Source organism: Homo sapiens, chromosome 1 (assembly GCF_000001405.40).
Source record: "Homo sapiens chromosome 1, GRCh38.p14 Primary Assembly".
Taxonomy (NCBI): domain Eukaryota; kingdom Metazoa; phylum Chordata; class Mammalia; order Primates; family Hominidae; genus Homo; species Homo sapiens.
The window spans coordinates 58,523,998-58,547,735 of record NC_000001.11 but is presented as its reverse complement, the minus strand read 5'-3'; the positions used below and the strand labels follow the sequence as shown (position 1 = coordinate 58,547,735).

The window sequence follows — 23,738 nt, the reverse complement described above, 5'->3', positions numbered from 1 at the left end:
GGTAAGACATGTGCACTCCAGAGTTTGGGAGATAAACCCTACGAAGACTGAAGGACCTCCTACTTCAGTTTTTAGGGGTCCAGTTGTCAGGGGTTTTCCAGGATATCCCTTTCAAAGTAAAAGGCAAATCATAAAATACACATAAGATAAACGAAACAGTAACTTACACATTTTCCAAAAGAGATACCTAAAATTGTTCATAGTGTTTATGTCCTTTGACATAGTGTTTATGTCCTTTGAGATGTTTTCATTGTGCACAGAGTGTAAACATAATAAACTAATATGAGACCTCACTACTCATCCATCACAATCCAGTGTTTATTTGTACTGGCTTATTTGTACACTTTTATTTATTTGTGTTTATTTGTACACTTTTTTTTAATCGCCTGTCTTTCCTCACTGTGATATAAAGTTCACGAAATTCAGGTCTGTCTTGTTCACTGCTACATCCTTGGCACTTAAAATGTAGTTGATGCTCAAGAAATATGTTTTGGTGAAATGAATGAAACATACTATACACATAATTTTGGAGCCAGCTACTTTAACCTCCAGACACTTAAGATTATACTTCATCTTTCTTAAAATGCGTCCCTCCAAAAATCATATGAAAGCACTGTTCCCATACTCCAAAGACTATTTCTATGAATGCAGATTCAGAACCAGGAAGCCTTCGTCTTTTGGCAGTCTTCGAGTCTCTTCCCTTTTGGCCGGTACTGCCGTAGAGACTACAACGGACACAGCCTTGCGTGGATCATTCTTTAGAGGACCCAACTCACCAAAGACGGGAGAAAGTTGTTCCTAGGCAAGCAGCCCAGCCCAGGGCCATGTCCCGCCTTAAGCCACACGGAGGCGCTAGAGCGCCACAGTCTCCGCGGGGCCCGGGGCAGCTGGGAGAACGACTCTGGGCGGCTGTATTGACTGCCGGGTGTGGGCGGAGCGAAGGGCGCCCCGGCCGGTATGGCGGGCAGGAAGTGCGGGTGCGCGCCTGCGCATAGGTCGGGTCTGCGGTGTCACCGCTTTCGCTTCTGCTTGAGTCAGTCCTCACGGTGACGCTTTTCCCCAGCTTTTCCGAGTAGGATCGTGCCCAGGGGAGGAGGCAGAGTGCGGCAGTGGGGAGGGGGCGGAGCGCAGAGCGCCTGCGGGGGCGCCCGGGCAAGGAGTGGGGATCCTTGGGGATGGGGGTACGGGAGGAGGCGTGGGTGGGCGATAAGGCTGCGTGGAGGGGAGGGGCGGGGGGCGCCGGGGCGGGAGACGGAGGGGATCTGTCCTGGGGGAGCCCGGTTCTCCCCTAGCCTTGCCCGGGGCACGCCGGTGACCCCGTGTGTCTGCCCCGTGGCAGTACTTTCGTGGGCCGCCTGCCCTCCCCCTCAGCCCGCCCTTATCCGCGGCTCCGCTTTCAGAGCAGGGTTTCTCACCCGCGGGGCTTCGGGCTCCTCACCCGGCACCTCTGCCAGAGGGGACCGCCTCCCGGCGCGTCGGGCATTCGTCTCTTTCACCCCTTCCCTCTTCAGGAGAAACTGAACACGTTTTCCAGCCTAAACTCGGCAGGGCAAACCAGAACATTCCCCGTCTAAGCAGTTCCGGGGAGTTTTAACAATTTCCTCGTAAACTCGTCTACAGAACTCACTGTATACTGTTTAAATGTCGCCTGTGTGTGGAGCAACAGTTTTATTGTGCCGTGCAATCCTCAACAAGAAATTGTAGTCCAGGGAGATGAAAATCCCTTATTTGGCATTCAGGCGTTGATCAAGGTCGTGCAACCCTCGCTAAAAGGATTTAGGTTCATCTCCGTCATTCTCAGCCGGGGTGAAGGGGTGTAGTCTGACATTTGGAAGCTTAAGAACCAAGTCTGCTGCCGTCCAATTCTTTTTTAAAGCCTTCCATCATGTGTGTACTTTGCTTGAATGATTATTTTAAAGTACATGTCCTATTTTTGCCAATCTGACAGCTGTTTCCATAGAAACTAGAGAAGAAATAGTCATTTTCAGCAAGAGTTGTTAAAACTGTCTTCCAGGCTTCAGCTGTGAGTGCCAGTGAGTGCTGCACTTGCTCATTCGGAGATGGTACTTAAAGAATTAAGGATCTGAAATGTTCGTAGAGGCTAACAATCCAAATTGTTTAATTTTCTCACATCATTAATTTTGTTATCCTAGAAGTCTGCCAGCTATGTTTGTTGACCTGCCACAGCTCTTTGAAGAGAATATGTCAGCCCTGATTTTTTTTTTTCTTATGTGCTCTGTAGTCTAGTGATTGGCTCCTTGAAAATGCATGAATAGATTTCTTCCCTCATTCTTTACCCTTTCTTCAGGATAAACCGGGTATTACAAAATATCAGGCACTGTTTCTATTCAAAACGACACTTGGTTGTCAGTGATAGAAATGATAATGGTTTTAATTATATATGCGTAGTGTTGGGGCTTTTGCTTATACCTTCTGTGTCAATAGGATTCTTTTAAAATTTTTACACAAGTCATGAGAAATGAGAAGGAGTTTGCTTGTCATGTGCAGAGCTAAGCAGTGTGAATAGATGTGCATAGACATAGAGATGAGAGCTTTCTTTTTCTGTGGGGTGTAAGTAAATCAGGGAGTTTGGAATTTAGGAATGGGTGAAGGAGGGTTGGGGAAGGTGCCTGGAGAAGTAGTAGGAGGGCCTGGTTCGCCATATGAAGGAGTTTGTGGAAGCCATGGAAAACCAACGAAAGTCCAGGCGTGGTGGCTCATGACTGTAATCCCAACACTTCGCAGTGCAGTATGATCAGTTGAGCCCAGGAGTTAAAAACCAGCCTGGGCAACATAGTGACACACCGTGTCTACAGAAAAAAATTAAAAAATTAGCTGGGCTGGCCAGGTGCGGTGGCTCAGGCCTATAATCCCAACACTTTGGGAGACCGAGGTGAGCAGATCACTTGAGGCCAGGAGTTCGAGACTAGCCTGGGCAATTTGCCGAAACCCCGTCTCTACTAAAAATACAAAAATTAGCCAGATGTGGTAATGCATGCTTGTAATCCCAGCTACTGAGGAGACTGAGGCACGAGAATTGCTTGAACCCAAGAGGCGAGGTTGCAGTGAGCCGAGGTGGCACCACTGCACTCCAGCCTGGACAACGACAAAGTGAGACCCTGTCTCGAAAAGAAAAGAAAAACAATGGGAATTACAGAAATAGTTGCCTGAGTGGAGGTTTAAAAAAGTAATAATACATCCCGTAGAAATTTGAACTGCACAGAAATATATAAGGTGAAAATACTAATAATCCCTCTTAACCACCATCCTGCCATTCAAAATAATTGTGAATAGTTTGGTGTATCTTTTTTCAGATTTATTTTTGTATATACTAGCATATTTTCTCATTACTATTTTTGCAAATTGGGGAGGGTTTTTTAAAATCTGTTTTGTTCTCTGCAGTATCTCTAGCATCCATTATGGTGCCTAGCATTTAGTGGGCACTCATTAAACATTTTCAGAATGAATGAATAATAATACAGTTCAGAGGTCAAAAATACAAAATCTGAATGTTTGGTTAAGGTCGTTAAAATTTTTTAAGTTCATTGCCAACATTTAAAAATTGATAAATTTCACCTAAAATCTGAAATTCTGGCTTTACTTAAAAGTTTTGAATCATTTGGCCACAGCAAGTTCAAATTCCATCATAACTGTTTGCACCTCCTTTAGATGGTCATGAATCTGCATTCACATCAGTATCACTTTGCTGATATTCACTTGCCTGGACCCTACAAACCTGTACTGTGCGATACAGTAGACACTAGCCACATATGGCCATTTAACTGAGTTAAAAATTTCATTCCTCAGATGCACCAGTCACATTTCAAATGCTCAGTAGCCACATGTAGGGGCTACCTTATTGGACAGTGCAGACATGAACATTTTTATCATTGTAGAAAGGTCTGTTGTATGGTGCTTCTTTAGACGTTTGAGTTTGCCACCTCTGTTATACAGAAGTTTTTAGGTAGCATTTATTATTATTTTTAAATTTGTATATCCCTTTGCCAGAGATTGCTATCTTTTAAATCTTTTAAAGATTTACAGATCATCATGTCATTTTTTAAATGATTACCTGGTATTTACCAGGGTAGGACTGTATGTTAATTGTCGGGGTAGGATTCTGTTGCCAGGGTTTGCATTTTAGAAATAATGCTTTAGCTCTAGTTTGGGGTCAAACTGTAGTGGGAGGGGTTAGTGGTGAAATAAGGCAGGGAGATTAGGTGGGTAGTGATCAACACCATAAGACCACAGAGCCCAGGAAAGGCTAGAATGAGATAAGAAGGAGGTAGAATTGACATGACTGATTTAATGTGGGCTGAGATATTTTGGATGCTAAAGTTGCTGTAGAGATAATCCAGTATTTCTGGAACTGATTAAATGTTGAAAATTGGTAAATTTGGCTTTGCAAAGTGTAGGAGGAACCCTCAGCTAGTTCCAGTAAACAACATGTATAATATTAAAATGCTGTCAATTTACAAAAACAAATGTATAACTGTTTTATACCATGTAAACGTCTTAGAGATCATTTATTTGCAGAATACAGAAACTCATTGAAGAAAGCGCATTATTTTGGGGATAAAGTAAAAGCTCATGAAGCTCAATTAAGTGTAGGAAGTACAATGGTTTCATGGGAATCAGGGAGGTCTTATTCTCTCATATTCACTCTGGCTTTGTGGTCTCTCACTTATCTTCTGTCTACACTTAATAGTCCATTGTCTTTTCTGTGGATCCACTTTTTTTTTTTTAAAAAAGCTTTTTGTTTGTAGTTCTTGCTTTCATATTGCTTTGTTTAGCCATAGCACCCGCTGTAGACCCAACTTACACATGCCCTTATATTCCTGTGCGGAATACTGTTTTATGTAAAATCTTTTCAGTATCAAATACCTACTCCTAGCTCTGTAGCTAATGGTAGGGGTTGCTAGGGATGAATGTGGCCGTCTAAGCCTGTCCCCTAAAATGAGGCTGTAAGATGCACATTTGGAAAAGGACTTGTGCTTGGGCAAGTGTCTGAAGCTTATCTACTACAGTAAATCATCAGATTTGAGGTCAAGGAAAGAAAGTGGGCTTGGGTTGTTTTTGCAGTTTGACTTCTAGAAGAAGACTTTACATTTAAACCTTAAAACACTTTCCCATTTAAAACAGTTCTTTCCATTTTTTTTTGTCTTTCTGCATCTGCCTAAATGGCATGAAAAATAATTGCTGCCTTCCTGAACTCTTCAGCTACTCATGGATGTCTTTTTAAGAATGCATACAGTATGTAGTATTTAATAACTGAATTTTATTATCCCCTAATAGTCTTACTTAGGTTCAGTTTTGTCTCCCCAACTAGATTATAACCTCCATGAGAGCAGGACTATATTCTGTGCTGCATAACTCTCATGGCCCCTAGCCAATGAAAACCTTACTAGCTACTCCAGTATGAATTGTGAAATGACTTCTAGGCTTAAATTATTTAACAATTTTTCAGCTTGGTTCAAAAAAGTAAAAACAAAGTATCTTGTTAATAATGTCAAACTATTATATATCAGCCTGGACTTTACTAATTTAAAATTGGTTGTATTTCAAAAAGGGTTAACTCAAAGTTAATGTTTTACTTAGCATGCCCTTTATTAACATTATACATTAACAGTGCAAGGGCAGGATGTATGAATTACATAAAAAATAAATTTGAGTAATTTTCAAATGGTTTGATATATAGATAATACTATTAAAACTGGTAGTCCTGGAGCATCTTTCTAGATAATATCGTATTAGCTTAGGTTGAAGTTTACATATTTTTTTCCCCAACTTTTATATGAAGATTTTGAAACATGCAGAAAAATTTAAGGAACACATATGTAACTATCACTGAGATACAATGATTGCTGATATTTTGTTTATTGACTTTATGTCCTTTGTGTGTGTACCTTTGCTGTACAATTTGAAAGTGAGTTTTATTTATCATGAACAGATCCTTCAGCAAGTATCTCAGGAATAAAATAGTCAGATAACCACAATATTATCACCTAAGAAAATAATAATTACCTAAAACAACTTGAAATTCAATTCATATTTAGATTCCCTCAATCTGGGTTTTTTTGTTTTTTGTTTTTGGTTTTTTTTTTTTTTTTTTTTTTTTTTTGACAGGTTCTCATTCTGTTGCCCACGCCGGAGTGTAGTGGCACAATTTTGGCTCACTGCAGTCTCTTGCCTCCCAGGTTCAAGTGATTCTCCTGCCTCAGCCTCCCAAGTAGCTGGGTTTACAGGCAAGCACCACTCTTTGTAATCCCTTCCCCTGCTGCTTTTTTCCTACAACTCCTCAAGCAGTCACTCATCTCTCTGTCACTATGGATTAGTTTGCATTTTTTGCAGTTTATATTATAGAGATGTAATCAGAGTATGTACTTTCTTGTGTTTTTCCTGTTTTTTTTTTTTTTTTTTTTTTTTTTTTTTTTTTTTTTTTGAGACAGAGTCTCACTCTGTTGCCCAGGCTGGAATGCAGTGGCGTCATCTCGGCTCACTGCAACCTCCGCCTCCCGGGTTCAAGCGATTCTCCTGCCTCAGCCTCCTGAGTAGCTGGGATTACAGGCAAGTGCCACCACACCTGCCTAATTTTTGTATTTTTAGTAGAGACGGGGTTTCACGCCTCGAATGCCTGACCTCAAATGATCCACCTGCCTCGGCCTCCCAAAGTGCTGGGATTACAGGCGTGAGCCACCATGCCCAGCTTTTTTTGTGTTTTTCAATGAATTTATACAGTTCACCTAAGATGTCAAGTTTAAGATTTTATCTTTCATTGATTTTAAGAAGTTATGTGCCTTGTAGTTTTTTTCCTTTGTGTTTCTTTTGTGTAGGATTTGTTAAACTTTTTGAATTTGTGGTTTTATAATTTTCATCAAGTTTGGAAAACTTTTGGCCATTATTTCAAGTGTTTTTTTTTTCTGTCTACACCTCCTCCCCGCTTTTTGGGGACTTCAGTTAGATGAATATTAGGCCACTTGAAGTTATTGCATACCTCATTGATGCCCTGTGCCTTTTTTTATTATTGTATTTTTTCTCTGTATTTCATTTTAGATGGTTTCTATTGATACGTCTTCAAAGTCACAAATCTTTATTTCTACAATGTTAATCTGCTGTTAGTCTCATCTAGTATGTTTTTCATCTTAGTTCTTACAGTTTTCTTGTCTAAAAGTTTAGGTCTTTTAAAGAAATATATTACATATCTCTACATAACATGCTCATATTTTCCTTTAGCTTCTTAAACATGTGCAGTATAGTTACAATAACTAATATCCTTATCTACTAATGCTGTTATTTGTTTATTTAGGAGTTAGTTTCCACTGATTGATATTTCTTCTAATTGTGGATCACATATCTTGCTGCTTGCATGCTTGGTGATTTTTAATTATAAATTGCACCTTGTTAAGTGTTAAATAGTTTTGTGTCCTAATACCTGTTTAGATTTTTTTTTTTTCCTGGGATGCAGTTGTTGCTTGGAAGCATTTAATCTTTTTGGGGGTTGCTTTTAATATTTGTTAGGTGGGGCCAGAGCAGCTTTCGGTCTCAGACTAATCTTTCTCTAATGTTGAGGCAAAACCCTTCTGAGTACTCTACCCACGAATGATAAGGTTTTCCACTTTGAATGGTGGGGAGGGGATAGGCAGTATACCATGCCCTGTGTGAGCCCTGTATATTATTCCCTGCAATCTTTTCAGGTGGCCCTTTCCCAGCTCCAGGGAATTTTCTTACACATATGCCCAGACAGGACTCAGCTGAATATGGGAGGGGGATTCTCTGCAGAACTCTAGAGTTATTTCTCTGTGCAGCTCTTGTCTTCTCTTGTCCTCTGTCCTGTGAGCTCTAGCAACCTTGGTTTACTTGACCTCCCAGCTTTATCTCTTCGATTTAGGGGAACCACTGGGCTCCACCTAGGTTTACCCTGTCTGCATTGTGGCCTGGAAGCACTCTCCAGGCAATAAGCTAGGACAGTTGTAGGGCTCTGTTTCCCATCTGTTAGGGATCACTGTTCTTCATTGCGTAATGTCCAGTGCATTTTATAAGTTAGATTTTACTATTCTGTATCACATGCTTCCTTCCAGTTATTGCAAACTGATAAAGTTTTACTGTTGTTTTTATCTAATCCACTTTATTGCTCAAATCATTTGCCATTAAAATACAAATGGCTCTTCCCTAACTAAAAATTAAAAATGAAATGAAAAAAATTCAAGCTTCTAAAGTAAACGTTGCATAGTAAATATCGTGGTATATATACTCTGGTTTATCTTGCTGAAAGGCGTTGCTCTAGGGGTGATGAGTTGAAACCCAAGGTAATTTAGCCTGAGATGTGTTAGAAGAACAACTGACACGCCTATTTAATAAGTGTTATAGTCCCAGTTTGGTAAGTAAATATTTTCCACAGATATTTATAGTTTTTTTTTTGTTTCAGGTAGTCAAGTGAAAAAATGAGCTTCATCTGTGGATTGCAGTCTGCTGCTAGAAACCATGTTTTCTTCCGATTTAATTCACTGTCTAACTGGAGAAAATGTAACACATTAGCATCCACCTCACGGGGCTGTCATCAAGTACAAGTTAACCATATAGTAAATAAGTATCAGGGACTGGGAGTAAATCAGTGTGACAGGTGGAGTTTTCTGCCTGGAAACTTTCATTTTTATAGTACTTTTAACAACAAAAGAACAGGAGGCCTCTCAAGTACCAAAAGTAAGGAAATTTGGAGGATTACCAGCAAATGTACTGTATGGAATGATGCTTTTTCAAGACAGCTGCTAATAAAAGAAGTTACAGCAGTCCCTAGTCTGTCAGTATTGCATCCTCTAAGCCCTGCTTCCATAAGAGCTATTAGGAATTTCCATACTTCTCCACGGTTTCAAGCTGCTCCGGTTCCTCTCTTGTTGATGATTCTTAAACCAGTACAGAAGTTATTTGCAATCATTGTAGGCAGGTAAAATGCTTTTTTAGAATAAAAACTTTTATATTAACTTTTTGCATTAATATTTTGTGCTAACGTATTAACTTTTAGAAATTAATTTTTTTATTTATAAAACTGTACTTTTAAAGAAACCTTGCCAGATCCCCTGTCTCCCCCCATTTAGCTCAAAGTGAAGTTTCTAAACAGTAGGTCCTGCCCAATTTTGTTCTGTATGATTTAATAATCTTGAAACAATTTCCTGCATACTAATTTATGGTATAGAAATATCTCTTTAAAAAGTTATTCTTACATTTTGTATAGGCATTAAAAAAATCTTATATTTATGACTACAAAATCTTAGGATATATGGATCAGAAGTGCTGGTTATCACTTATGTATAAGAAGAGTACTTACAAACATTTCTTTTTAATTTGTGGAATTTAAGGCAGCAAATCATAAAATTGAGGAACTTTGCTTATATAAGGGTGGGCTCACTCCTAGTTAACTCTTAAGTCATTAATGCTTCTTTTCTTTCTATTCTGTTCCCAACAAATCTTTGTTTTTTTCCTTGGTGATCCTTTATAATAATATTTTCACAGCTTGTAGTGCTTTAACCCTTTTTCTCTTGTTTGTTTTATGAAGATGGAAGAAAGCTAATCACTGTTTCTTCATAAAGCTTTCTTGTGTTTGATGACTGTGAAGTCCCTTCTAGCCTTCTTACTACCACATGAACCAAACCAGTTTGCTTTTGATCAAAAACCAAGAACTTCTATTTGTAACTTATTGTGTTTTTCATGATTTGGTGTTGGCACCCAAAAGCGATACAGCTGTATTGACTATTGGTTGAAGTAATACGCTCATCCCAGGTTCTTCGGATGCTCTTTCTGATTTCTGCTATGTCCTCATCCTTTTAAATTATTTATTTGTAACTTTCTTGTTTTTGTTACTATTGTTGATCACCTAAAATTTTTCATTTAGAATATGTCTTTCATACATTTTAAATAAAGGATAATGTCATGTAAAGTTTTAAATAGGAAATAAGTATACTCGATAGTTTGATTTATGTCCCTTTAAATGGACACACTTTGTGTAAAGGCATTGGGGTGTGTCACTTCACAAAGAGAACTTTAAGAATTTGTAAAATAAATTTTTGTCAAGAGAATGATGTATATATGGTAAATTTTTGTTGTGATTTTACAGATCAACTCATAAGGAAAATTTTTGTCCCAGTATTGAAAACATTGCTTGTTGTCAAAATGTTTCTGAACACTGCTAAGTGGCAGAGAGTATTGTTGCCTGGTAGAAATTGGACCTTCTCAGATGTTATCTATAAAATCTCCCACTTTCTTATGAATACCTAGGATCTTGTTATCTCTCCTTTTTCACGTTGTAAAGAGGATAGTGGAGTTTCTGCTACTGAGCACTATTTATTTCCAAAATGAATGCTGAGGCAGTTTCCCTTGTACCTTGTGGAATCACTGGCAAATTGTGTTGGAGGTCTGAGGAGCAGTGGGAAAAGTAGTGGTTCCAGGTATAGATTTATTGTACTGTAACCTCTTACATAATTATTTAGGCATTTATCCCTATTAAGTGGCTAAGTGGTCAGACTCTGGAATGTCATTGCCTTCATTGCTTGGTTTTCCTTTTATTACCTCAGTGGCCATGGACAAGTTACCTAACAATTTTATCTTCTGTAACAGGGTTATTATGAAGATTAAATGAGATGGTATATATATATATACAGAGAGAGAGAGAGAGAGAGAGAATTTTGCATGTACTAGATAGTAATAAATATTAACCAGTGGTAGTTATAGTAAACTAGCATCTCATTTAGTGTTTATCCTTAAAATAGCTGAAGAAGAAAATTTCGATGAGTATTAGAATTTTTTAACTGTAACTTTACATCATTGATTATTTTTTCATCATTTAGCTAAGAATTTTATTAATTGGAAAAGCGATGTATTCAGCGAAATACATCATACAAATTCAGGTATTTGAGGACGTAAAATTCTAGTGTATGCATTTGAGCTTTAGTGATATGTGCTGGAATGATTTTCAGAACTTTGAATTTTTCTTTTTGCTTTAGGGGCATAAGGAAATGGTGGCAGGCACTTCCTCCTAACAAGAAGGAAGTAGTTAAAGAAAATATAAGGAAGAATAAATGGAAGCTATTCCTTGGTTTGAGTAGTTTTGGATTGCTCTTTGTGGTGTTTTATTTTACTCACCTGGAAGTAAGTCCAATCACAGGAAGGAGCAAGCTACTATTATTGGGGAAAGAACAGTTCAGACTTTTATCGGAACTGGAATATGAAGCAGTAAGTAGTAAGAGTTGTTTTTAATTAGACTGCTTAATATAACACTCAAAGTAGGAAAGTATCTTAAATGTGAAAGATATGTTGTTTTTTAATTTTAGTCTTTGATATGAAATTAGCATTTTTTTTTCCCGAAGGCCTCAGACCTTTCACACTTAGTATTCCTACTGCCTACATTGCTTTTCCTAGCATTCACCCAGCTAACTCCTGCTCAGCACATTTCACCTTAAATGTCACTTTTCTCAGGAAAACCTTCCTTGATTATCCAGACTGGGTTAGGCAGGGTGACTGGATCAGGCCCTAGGAGGTATCCTTCATACCGACTGAATTATGAACCAGCTCATTTGTAGTTGCGCCCATTGCTTGGCTTTACTGGGGTTAGGTCTCCTAGGCTTTTTTTCTCTGCATACTGTACTTTTCCTTCAAAGCACTCATGAGAGTAACATAATTATTTGCATAATTATTTTTTTGATTGTCTTTCTTGTTAGACTAAGCTTCATGGGGGCAGGGATCTTACCTGTTTTGTTTATGGTTTTAAATACTAACACAGTATGTAAGAGTAGAGCTTAGTATATATTTATTGAATAAATAGATTTATAGTCAGAATTCTTATACCTTGAAAATCAAGTAATATAAGATTTTTTTCCCAAACATCAGTTTTAGCAATTTATTATATTTTTTGAATCCAAATTTAAGTTATAATTTAGAAGTCTTACCTCTTTGGAAAGTATAGTAACTCAGGTAGTTAAACATTTTGTACCCTAGTGAGTTTCTTAGGGACAGAGGTCATTTTCTCTCCAGTTCATAGCACATACACATGTTATGTGCCCTGTGGCTCAATTAATATTTTTCGAATTCATGTCCAGTAGCCTCACTTGACAGCTTTGGCATGGCTGAATCTTTTTTTTTTTTTTTTTTTTGAGACAGAGACTTGCTCTGTCACCCAGGCTGTACTGCAGTGGTGCCATCTTGGCTCACTGCAACCTCCACCTTACAGGTTCAAATTATTCTCCTGCCTCAGCCTCCCGAGTAGCTGGGACTACAGGCGTGCGCCACCACGCCTGGCCAATTTTTGTATTTTTAGTAGAGATGGGGTTTCATCCGTGTTGGCCAGGATGGTCTTGATCTCCTGACCTCGTGATCTGCCCACCTCCTAAAGTGCTGGGATTACAGGCATGAGCCACCATGCCCAGCCGCTTGTTGATTCTTAAGTGAAAAAAAGCATACACTTTATGAAAGTTAAAGTAATATTTCAGAACATTTTTAATTTTCTCAGTACACTTGAAAGAGCTCTCATGAATATAACTTCAGAAAAAGTATCTTCTGTGGTGGCTAGTCTTAATCAGCATCTTTTAGAGACAGTGATAATGCTCATTAGTTCTGAGAATTCAGTAATTTCCTTTCAATCTGTGAGTAAAACACCTTAAAATTAATGAAATGTCTATTTTGGTAGTTTAACTTTCTTATTAGGTATAGGGTGTTTTTCTGTTCAATGCATTGTGAATTTAATTTTCTTTTGTATTTTACTTAGATGAAATCTTAAGTTCTCCAGGCTCTCCTTTTCTTTTCTTTTTGAGATGGGATCTCCCTCTGTCACCCAGGTTGGTGTTGGAGTGCAGTGGCGAGATCTCAGCTCACTGCAACCTCCACCTCCTAGACTCAAGCGATCCTCCCACTTCAGCCTCCCATGTAGCTGGGAACACAGGTGCATGCCACCACGCCTGGCTAATTTTTTGTGTTTTCGGTAGAGACGGGGTTTCACCATGTTGCCCAGGCTGGTCTTGAACTTCTGAGCTGAGGTGATCCTCCTGCCTTGGCCTCCCCTAGTTCTGGGATTACAGGCGTGAGCCATCTTGCCCTGGCCTAGGCAGTGTTTTCTAAAATGTTTAGGAAAGTAGAAATAATACTTAAGTATTCGTTTGTAGTTTAATCGAAAAGAATGAAATTTTGATGTCAATCTATTCATAAAAAAACTTAGTATTAGAATTTATTCCTTTGTAAGAAACCACATTGTCTTTGCATGAATAATTCAGATTTGAGAAATTTCAGTGCTTAATATATGCAGATTTTTATATAATTAAAACTTAAAATGTTCAATAATAAGTAGCCATATAACTTTCCATGAAGCAGAGTAAGCATTTTGTAGTGCTCTTTTAAAATAAGAAGTAATTTTTAATCTTTCAGTGGATGGAAGAATTTAAAAATGATATGCTAACTGAGAAAGATGCCCGATACCTGGCTGTTAAAGAAGTGCTTTGTCATCTAATTGAATGCAATAAAGATGTTCCAGGGATCTCTCAGATCAATTGGGTTATTCATGTGGTTGATTCCCCAATTATTAATGCCTTCGTGCTTCCAGTAAGTAAATGTTCTCAAACGCATTGTAATTGTTAAATTTATTGTCCTTATTTTTTATGATGTTCTAATTGCTTACATTATTTTCTTTGTGGTGCAGAATGGACAAATGTTTGTTTTCACTGGATTTTTAAATAGTGTAACCGATATTCATCAACTTTCTTTCCTTCTGGGCCATGAAATAGCACATGCAGTACTTGGGCATGCTGTAAGTACCTAAAATGAATGTTCAGGTTTGGAAAAACTGCTTTGAAGTTAACAAGTTAAATCTTTTAAAGAACTGATTTTTTTCAGGTTTTTTAAAAATGATAGACTTTTAGTTTTGGGTAATTGCCTTAATCTGCTACCTGAAAAAAACGTGATTGGCTAATTTTGAGAATTTTTATGGTCTTTAGTATTTGATACTGAATAATATTTTTCTTAAATACTATTTTTATCACCTGTCTCTTTTGCTAAAACGTAATTATTCTCAACCCCTAATTATTTCAAATTAAATTTTAAACTTTCTATAATTATTAATATACTTGTAATCTAGTCAGAAAATTAATTGTAGGGAAGTGATATTACTATTTAAGTGGGTAAATCATCTTTCTTTTTTATTCATTCTCAGAGGATAGCTTGGAGCATCTTTGAAAATGTCTAGAATGATGTGTCATGTGTAATTAATACAGAGTAATAACAATACCTTGCCATTTTACAGTTTACTGAGCTTTTTAGTATATGTGGCTTCCCATTCATAATTTTAATACCCAATGAGGTATGTATTTATTATTACTATTTTATATAAGAGAAAACTAATGTTTAGAAAAACAGTAACATGACTAACCTGACAAAGTAACCGAACTGGGACTTTAACGTGGGTCTTCTGTATGTTAGTCCAGTGTTTCTTCCTTTCACTACAGTTACCTGGTTTTTAGCAGCGCTTTTCTTATAGATCATAGAATTCAAGTTGATGTATGCTCCTGTGAATACATGTCTGTTCATCTTGATATAAGTCCAGGAAAAATAACACATCTGTTTCACACATTTTTTAAATTGTTATTCATTTAAAAATATAAATGGCTCTTTTGTCTACATTAGAGAAAGTATTTTTTAAATTGTAAACGCAAAGGTACATAGTGAAGTGACTGAAATGCTAAATCAGAAATACAAGTAACATTAACTTCAAATGGAAATGATAATGATTCTAATCCTTCTAAGAGTAATCTCAAATTCTACCTGTTCCTTAGACTATTAATAAGATGAGATGGGCTAAATTGTTTTTCTGAAACACTGAAAGTAATTATCTCCTTGATTTCTTTTGAGTTACAGGAAGATTTTAAAAACATTTTTCTTGACTGGGTGCAGTGGCTTATACCTGTAATCCCAGCACTTTGAGAGGCTGAGGCAGGAGTATTGCTTGAGCCCAGGAGTTTGAGACTGGCCTCGGCAACATAGACTCAGTCTGTACAGAAAAATTTTAAAAATTAGCTGAGCATGGTGGCTCACACCTGTAGTTCCAGCTGTTCTGGAGCCTGAGGCAGGAGGATTGCTTGAGCCTGGGAGATCAAGGCTACAGTGAGCCATGATCGCACCACTGCACTCTAGCCTGGGTGACAGAGTGAGACACTGTCTCAAACAAAAAAGTAAGAAAAAAAATCTTTTTTTCTTAAACAAATATACACAAGAATACGTCTAAGCAGTGTTATTATATGCACTCTAATATCTTTCAAGTAATGGCTTCACAACTGCAAAATCAGTTTTGGCCATTTTAGCATTTGAAAGGTGTTACTATTCAGTACATTTGTTTTTTAGGCATCTAGTTCAGTGCCTTATATTCAGTGTATTGTCATCTCTATCAGTGCAAGAACAGTAGTAGATGAGGTGTAAAAAGCAAACAGCAGCCTTAAAAATAGAACATAGTTATTAATATGTTTTTGCAGAGATCTTAAACATTGTCAGCACAATATTTTCTCTTTTGGGAGTCTCAGTTTTGATTTTATCTAGGCGTTTATGTTTTCTTTATTCTACAAATACAGGTTTTTGTGTGTGTATTTCCAGTTTTCTAAGACTGTATAATAGCAATTATATTCTTTAATAACAAGGGCTTTCTCTTCTATAACAACTTCCTTATTTTGAGTTTCACTTTTTCATGTTAAAATAATTTCATAATTGGGCTGGGCACAGTGGCTCACCCCTGTAATCCCAGCACTTTGGGAGGCTGAGGTGGGTGGATCATGAGGTCAGGAGTTCAAGACCAGCCTGGCCAACATGGTGAAACTCCATCTCTGCTAAAAATACAAAAAATAGCTGAGCATGGTGGTGGGTACCTGTAATCACAGGTACTCGGGAGGCTGAGGCAGGAGAAACATTTGAACCTGGAGGCGGAGGTTGCAGTGAGTCGAGACCTCGCCACTGCACTCCAGCTTGGGCAACAGGGCAAGACTCTGTCTCAAAAAAAAAAAGATAAATCCATAATTGTTTTTCAAAACACACATTTGTGTTTTGAGGCAAAGTAATGAGGCAAATATAAGGAGGTAAAGTATGTTTTGTGAGGGTACAATATTTGTTAAGGGACAATATTCTAAGTCAGTTTTTAGTTTTCAGTCATTTTTCATACATTCAAGTAATGACTGCTATTTTATCAGTTTCAGCATTACAACATTAACATTTACTAATCACCTTTAATGGCAAACCATGAACAATCTAGTTCATTAAACTTAGATATTACTACTCAAAACAACTATTTTATGAAAAATCTTTTTTGGTAACTGATATAAGTAAATACAAAAATTCATAGAACCTGATTCTTTCATGATAAATACTAGACTTACAAATTTACAAACTTGTATAAATGAATAATATTTCATATATTAGGTCTTGAAGATCAGAATACTTTTATTTAAAATAAACTTCCAGTCTTTTTCTGAATTTTTTCTTGTTTTAAGTGCTTCATATGTTAGGTAGTGTTTAGTCTTTATCCAAAAATATTAGTAAAATAAAACATTTACTTGATTTTTTAAAATGATGCAACTATATTAAAAACTAAAACTGACCGGGTTTGATTTCTGGTCCTTTTAGTAATAGCTGTGCAAATCTGGGCAACTCTTAACCTCTCTCTATCTCAGTTTCATTATCTATAAATGTAGGGATAATTGTAGCTATTTCACAAGATTATTATGCCTGTTAATATAAGAAATTGTAGGTTTATATCCTCTGACTAATAGTAAGTGGCTTAGTAGATACTAGTTAAATGAATGAATAGGTATATAAGTAGATAAACCAAGGAAGGGAAAAACAGACCCGGAAAGAATAAGCAAAAGAAGAAAAAGAGAACTCTCAGTCTTAGGTGGAGAAGGTCAGGTAATTGTAACACATGATGAACTAGAAAATGTAAGCATATACTGTCTCAATGTATAAAATGTAGTTTTTATTATTTTGATTATTCTTAGGCAGAAAAGGCTGGCATGGTTCATTTGTTGGATTTCCTAGGTATGATTTTCCTCACAATGATTTGGGCCATTTGTCCTCGAGATAGCTTGGCACTTTTGTGCCAGTGGATACAGTCTAAATTGCAGGAGGTAAGTCTGAGACAATAACTTGAATTGATCATAGCCTCTGGTGAAGATATTTTAATACTACTGTAAAGCAGCAAATCCAGAGATGTTTTTACATTTTACTATGAAATATGGGTACGAATTTTTAGTGTCTTATGTTTTCTCGTTTTTAGGGGATATTCTTATATATGAATATTTAAATTAAGGAATACTACATCTCTCAAATGATGGGTATGGAGAGTTAGAAGGGCTTGGCAACTTTTGGCTAATAAAATTTTTGAAAATATATTTATTGGTTTTACAGAGAGAAAACCCAGCCACTGACCCTTCCTTTCGTAGTAACTGAATGACTCCCAAATTCAGCTGTCCCTTGGTATACAGGACTTCTTGTGGATACCAAAATCTGAGTATGCTCAAGTCCTTGATAAAAAATGGCATGGTATTGGCCGGGCGCCGTGGCTCATGCCTGTAATCTCAGCACTTTGGGAGGCCAAGGTGGGTGGATCACGAAGTCAGGAGATTGAGACCATCCTGGCTAACGTGGTGAAACCCTGTCTCTACTAAAAATACAAAAAAATTAGCCTGGCGTTGTGGCGGGCGCCTGTAGTCTCAGCTACTTGGGAGGCTGAGGCAGGAGAATGGCGTGAACCCAGGAGGCAGAGCTTGCTGTGAGCCGAGATTGCGCCACTGCACTCCAGCCTGGGCGACAGAGTGAGACTACATCTCAAAAAAAAATAAAAATAAAAATAAAAGCATGGTGTTTGCATGTAACTATGCACATCCTCTCATATACTTTAAATCATCTCTAGATTACTTGTAATTCAATGTAAATGCTATGTAAATAGTTATTTTACTATATATATTTTTAAGTTGTAGTTTTTTAAATTGTTTTTTCGTAGATATTTTCTATCCAAATTGGTTGAATCTACCAGGTGCATAATCCACAGATATAGAGAGCCAACTGTATTTGGGTTTTAATGCGGCACTGTTAAAACCTCTGAACTTTAATGGGCACAGAATTGGCTAAAGCTACTTTGCCATCCTTCCTTGCTTTTCACTCTGTTAAAATATCATTGCTTTGAAAATGCTGAAAGGAAAGTCTTACTAGGTGTTTGTTAACTTTTGTTTTTAGTGCTTATGTATAATAATCATCTCAAAAATGTATTGAGTGCCTCATTTTGTCCAAAACACTGTAATACTGAAAGTAGGTCTTGCAATCTTTATAACTACTTTGTTAACCATAATTTTTTTGTTTTACATCTTTCTTTGAATATTTCCTCTTGTCCCAGGAGGTTTGGTTATTTAGGAACAATCTGTTATTTGTTTATTTAATGATTTGTGGAGTTCCCATCAGAGTGCCATCTGGGTGCTGTTTAAATCTAATGTGCAAAATTCTATGAGACAAATTGTTTTTGAGATTGGATAACTAAGTCTATTATTCAGTATTAACATGTCATTTGGCTTCATTTATATTGAAGTAAAGGTTCTTAAAGAGAAAATAAAAGATTGGTTATTCCTTAGGTTGTAGGATCTCATATTTTGAATTTTGTTTCTGTCACTGACCCGCCAGGAAATTAAAAGAATTAATGTGGTTATTTTCCTGATCTATCTATAGATTGCTTTTTTTTATAATGGAATCAGCACAGTTGGTCATAAGAAAGATAACATTTATCTATTTCTTTCTTGAAATACTTGATAAATTCTGCCACTTCACTGTAATTCGTCAATGAAAATAAAGTAGGAATGATTCTATTTGAATTATTTTTTCCTAAATCAAGGCCCCTCAATAATTTTGGTGACGAGGAGATGTTTCTCTCTAGAAAGTTGCTCACTGTGATTGGAGAGCAGAGAGGAATGTTGATAGTGAAGTCATTAGGGTGTGGGAATTGCTGAGGTTCATCTGTTGTGAGGACCGAATGACACATTTAAAGCAGGATTTCTCAATCTCAGCACTACTCACACTTTGGACTGGATAATTCTTTGTTGTGGGGGAGTTGTCCTGTGCACTGTAGGATGTTTAGTAGCATTTCTGACCCCCATTCCCTAGATGTCAGTAGCTCTCCCTCCTCTCAGTTATGACAGTAATAAATATTTCCAAACATTTGTAAATGTCCCTGGAGGACAAAATCACACTAGGTTTAGAATCATTAATTTAAAGCACTTAGCACAGTACCTGGCACAAATCAGGGCTCAATAAATATGAGCTGTTATTTTTGTTCATTTAATCCCCTCTGCAGCTCTGTGAGCTTGGAACTGTTACTAGCTTCATTTTACATATGATACTACTGGGTTTAGCAGGGTTAAACAATTAGCTCAGGGTTAACAATAAGTTAACAGTATTTGGACTTGAACTTAAGTTTCTCTCTTTTTAAAGCCACAGTTTTAAATCCTTATGTTATCAATAGACTTGACGGGGGCACATGCAGCCTGCTCATGGGGAGTGAAGGCATTATATGATATACATCATTGACCTAAAACAGACTGATTGAAAAGGAAGGAAGTCATTTGTAATGGTCACATACTGTATATCAGATTTATTATATTATTTCAGGCCATCACAGACATGTGGCTACCTTTGAAAGATTGCTTCCCCAATTAATAGCTCTTTTCTCAAAAGTCCTGCCTATTGATTCATCTCCTACAAAGTTTTAGTACTTACTGAAAATTAGAATTTAACTGGAAAGCATTCACATAAATACAAGTAATTAGGAAAATTAAAGTTACTGTATCTATGTGTGTTTTTTATTGAAGTCAGAAGAAAATTTCATTTTCCCAACTAATCAATACTTAGAAAAGAAAAAGGAAATTAAGATAATTTATCAAAGAAAGAGCATTCTGCTATATGGTTAATTTTTTTACTGAAATAAATTGTCTAGTAGTGTCATTGGATATTATATGCCTACGTTTTCTTGATTTTCTTTTAAAACTCAAGGTCAAAATATTCCTTGACCATATTAAAAAGCCTTCATCAATAAGCTTTCTTAGTGAATCCTGTACTCAGTAGGTGGAGACTATAATTGGAAAAATAGAAGTAAATTCCTTATACTACAGACTGTCAAGAAATTTATAGGCATGACTTATATCCTTATCATTTTTTAAAGTATTTCTAATCAGGGAAATAAAGGCTGTGTTTATATTTTATATCATGGAGTTATTTTAATGTTAGTAGACAGTATAGGAATTTTATCCTAGATACTCCATGAAACTGTTTTTTAAAAATCTCTCTGTGTTACTCCTTTTTTCGTGAAATAAATTGTCTTAATGGAGCTTTTCTGTCATTTCTTCTTAGTATATGTTTAATAGACCATACAGCAGAAAATTGGAGGCCGAAGCTGACAAAATTGGACTACTGCTTGCTGCAAAGGTAAAGTGTTTAGTAGTTGAGAATACATAATGCCCTTCCCAGGCTGAAAGATAAACGTGTGTTATTTTAATGAGGCTTGGCATAAGCAGAGAATGAGAGTTGGACTGTATTAGCCCTTTATGTAATTTCTGTTAATCTAGAAATTTGAAGATTATGGACCTTGAAAGAATGTATAACTGAAGAGTCTCAATTCCCTTCTATATTTGAAGCTGTATTATGCCTTAGACAGAATCCATAAGATTATAGTAATTATCAGGTTCTATTAAAAGAAAGTCAGTTCTTGATTGGAAATAATTTTTTGCGTGTATAAATTTTTTGATCATAGACATGAAACATACAAATTGAAATTTTAAAACATTTGGTTATGTAATGTGTCATCCCCTCTGGCCTTTTAACATTTGTCCCTCTGGAAAGCTAATGCTATCTCTTTATTTTACTCCAGTACTCCAATATTTTACCCCTTGCTTCTCTGATCTAAGGAGGCTTTTTGAGTAAACAGGTTGATAGGTAGTTGTTTTCCCCCACTTGAAGATAGGTTGATCCTGTTGTAGCTATGATCTTGGCTAAGCAAACTGATTTTCTACCATTTAAATAAACAGTAGACGAACAGACATTTAGGTTATTTTTGTTGTAGCAGATGGCTTTTTTTTTTTTTTTTTGCTAGCCATAGAGAGCAGCTCTGGGCCTTTACTTTTATTTAAGTTGACTTTGTTCCTGTCTACTTAACAGGGCACCTGGCAGCTATTTTTAATCACCTGTGATAACTGAGTGTTATTAGTAGCATTTAAGATTAGAAGTAAAACTGCATTTTAAAAAAATGAGTGAAAGCAATGCCACTTCACATATTAAATTCAAGTTTTAATTGATCCTTTGTTATGTTTCTGGTAGTTATTAAAACTATTAATCATTTTATTTGAACCTCTCATAAGTTTTATGGATTTAATTTCATAAATCAAGGTATTACTCCTTCACAAAAGCAAAATCAGTTCTTTGAATGTTAAATAAATGTGATTAAGTGAATTATCAGACTGCGTGCACTAAGAAGTTCCCACATAAGGGGGCCACAGATTGGCTGTATTAAGAATTTCCTAATTTTCATGTACTCCAGTCTGTCAGATTTTCCCTATATGTTAAGTGTGTTCTGTGTTCTGGTTAGGAAATCTTTGTTTATCTCAGTAAGTTATTCCTGCTTTATTTCTAATAAACTTTACTATTTTTAAAATATATAATATGAGGAAGAGGGCAACATCTTTTTTTTCCCCTATGGATAGCTAATAGACTCAGCACTGTTTATGGAAAAAAGTCACCTTTTTTTCACCAGACTTCAGTGTCTCTTTGTCATAAAGGTGGGAGTATATCTGGGGTCTCTTTCTAGACACACTATTCTGTTCCATTGGCTTGTTTATGTTTCAGCCAGTACCATATTATCACTATAACTTTGTAGTAAGTGTTGATACCTGAAGCTTCTGTCCTCCAGTGTTGTTCTGCAGAATTGATTTGACTCTTCTTGGATCTTTGCATTTCTATATACATTTTAGAAATAGCTTATTAAATTATACATACATAGAAAAACACATGGGGTTTTGATTGGAATTGCATTGCATTTATACATGAATTTGGGGACACTTGACTAGTGTCTGTAGTATTGATTCTTCCCATCCATAAATATGATATATTTTCCAGTTTGTTTAGATGTTTAATTTTTCTCGATGTTTTGAAATTTTTTTGTATGTAGGAATTACACATCTTTTGTTAGATTTATTGCTAAGTGTTTGATGTCATGATAAATAGTGTCATTTTTAAAGTAAATTGCTTGTATATAAAAATACAATTGATTTTATAATTGACCTTGTACCCAGCAACCTTTATTTCTTCCTTTCCAATCTGTATACAGTTGACTCTTGAACAGCATGTTTTTGAGCTGTGTAGATCCACTTATACATAGGATTTTTTTCAATAAATATATTGGAAGGTTTTTTGGAAATGTGCAACAATTTGAAAAAACTCACAGGTGAACCATGTAGCTTAGAAATATTGAAAAAATTAAGAAAAGGATATGTCATGAATGCATAAAATACATGTAGATATTAGTCTTTTATAATTTTTTACCATAAAACACAAATCGGTTATGAAAATTTATCAAAACGTGTGCCTACACAGACCATACATGGTGCCATTTGCAGTTGAGAGAAATGTAAACAAACAGAAAGATGCAGTATTAAATCATAACTGCATAGAATTAACTGTGGTACCTATGGTACTACTCTTATAGTTTTGTATTCACTTCCTGTTGCTAATGCAGTGATCTCAAATATTGTGAATATCTACTTAAAACACCAGAAGACACTAATCATCTCCATGTGAGCAGCTTTCTCTCCAGTAAATTGAGTATCTTAGTAAATGGTCTCTTGCAGTTCTTGCATATTTTTCATTGTGTTTAGTGCAATACTGTAAACACCTTGAGTAATACCATGAGACCCATATGAGTTGCTGCTAGTGATACTGGAAATGTTCCCAGGAAGTAAACTCATGATATTACAAGAAAAAGTTGAGTTGCTTGATATATACTGTAGATTGAGGTCTGCAGCTGTGGTTGCCTGCCATTTCAACATAAACGAATCCAGAATAAGGACCGTTGAAAAAAGGAAAAGAAAATTTGTGAAGTCATAGCTGCAACTCTACCAGCAAGCATGAAAACCTTGCACTTTTTGCAAAAGACTTTTATCTTGTATAGAAGATGCACCTTTTATGTGGGTGCAGGATTGCCATAAGAAAGGCCTATCTATAGACTCTAATATGATTCAAGAAAAAGCAAAGTCATTATATTACAACTTAAAAGGAAGATGAAAGATCTAAAGCTGGAGAATTTAATGCCAGCGAAGGATGGTTTGATAGTTTTAGAGATTTGGCTTAAAAATGTCAAGATAACAGGAGAAGCAGCTTCTGCTGACCAAGAGGCAGCAGATGCATTCCCAGATGCTTTAAGAAAATCGTTAAGGAGAAAGAATAGCTGCCGGAACAGGTTTTTAATGCAGATGAAAGTGTGCTATTCTGGAAAAAAGATAATGCCATAAAGGACATTTATTAATGAGCATCAAGATTTAAGGCAGAAGGGATATGCTAACTCTACTGTTTTGCGGAAATGGAGTTGGATTTGTAAGTACTTTCCTTATCTATAAAGCTGGTAACCCCTGAGCCTCTAAGGAAAAAGATAATACCAGCTGCCAGTCTTTTGGTTGTAAAGCAAAAAGGCCTGCTACACA

General features: G+C 36.4%; 2 protein-coding genes across 2 annotated transcripts in view, besides 4 other annotated features; both read left to right on the top strand.

Annotated features, from left to right (window-relative positions):
- Nucleotides 572–761: an enhancer, noted in NCBI's record as "active region_1083". NCBI's record gives its function as "activates an Ori minimal core promoter by ATAC-STARR-seq in GM12878 lymphoblastoid cells {active_cell/tissue: GM12878}" and the evidence as "EXISTENCE:reporter gene assay evidence [ECO:0000049][PMID:35858748]".
- Nucleotides 975–1,601: an enhancer, noted in NCBI's record as "H3K27ac hESC enhancer chr1:59011807-59012433 (GRCh37/hg19 assembly coordinates)". NCBI's record gives its function as "activates a minimal SCP1, AML or CMV promoter by ChIP-STARR-seq in primed H9 embryonic stem cells {active_cell/tissue: H9 hESC(primed)}" and the evidence as "EXISTENCE:reporter gene assay evidence [ECO:0000049][PMID:30033119]".
- Nucleotides 1,010–23,738, top strand: part of DAB1 (DAB adaptor protein 1) — a 1,551,949-nt gene continuing 1,529,220 nt past the window's right edge. The window contains exons 1-2 of the mRNA NM_001379461.1: nt 1,010–1,033; nt 20,401–20,475. The gene's annotated coding sequence lies outside the window, so the exon portion shown is untranslated. The remainder of the gene's footprint in view (nt 1,034–20,400; nt 20,476–23,738) is intronic.
- Nucleotides 1,010–23,738, top strand: part of OMA1 (OMA1 zinc metallopeptidase) — a 66,008-nt gene continuing 43,279 nt past the window's right edge. The window contains exons 1-7 of the mRNA NM_145243.5: nt 1,010–1,033; nt 8,426–8,941; nt 10,995–11,223; nt 13,405–13,578; nt 13,676–13,783; nt 17,007–17,135; nt 20,401–20,475. Of these exons, the coding sequence (NP_660286.1) occupies nt 8,442–8,941; nt 10,995–11,223; nt 13,405–13,578; nt 13,676–13,783; nt 17,007–17,135; nt 20,401–20,475 (1,215 nt within the window). The 5' untranslated portion in view covers nt 1,010–1,033; nt 8,426–8,441. The remainder of the gene's footprint in view (nt 1,034–8,425; nt 8,942–10,994; nt 11,224–13,404; nt 13,579–13,675; nt 13,784–17,006; nt 17,136–20,400; nt 20,476–23,738) is intronic.
- Nucleotides 1,162–1,261: a silencer, noted in NCBI's record as "silent region_932". NCBI's record gives its function as "represses an Ori minimal core promoter by ATAC-STARR-seq in GM12878 lymphoblastoid cells {active_cell/tissue: GM12878}" and the evidence as "EXISTENCE:reporter gene assay evidence [ECO:0000049][PMID:35858748]".
- Nucleotides 1,272–1,361: a silencer, noted in NCBI's record as "silent region_931". NCBI's record gives its function as "represses an Ori minimal core promoter by ATAC-STARR-seq in GM12878 lymphoblastoid cells {active_cell/tissue: GM12878}" and the evidence as "EXISTENCE:reporter gene assay evidence [ECO:0000049][PMID:35858748]".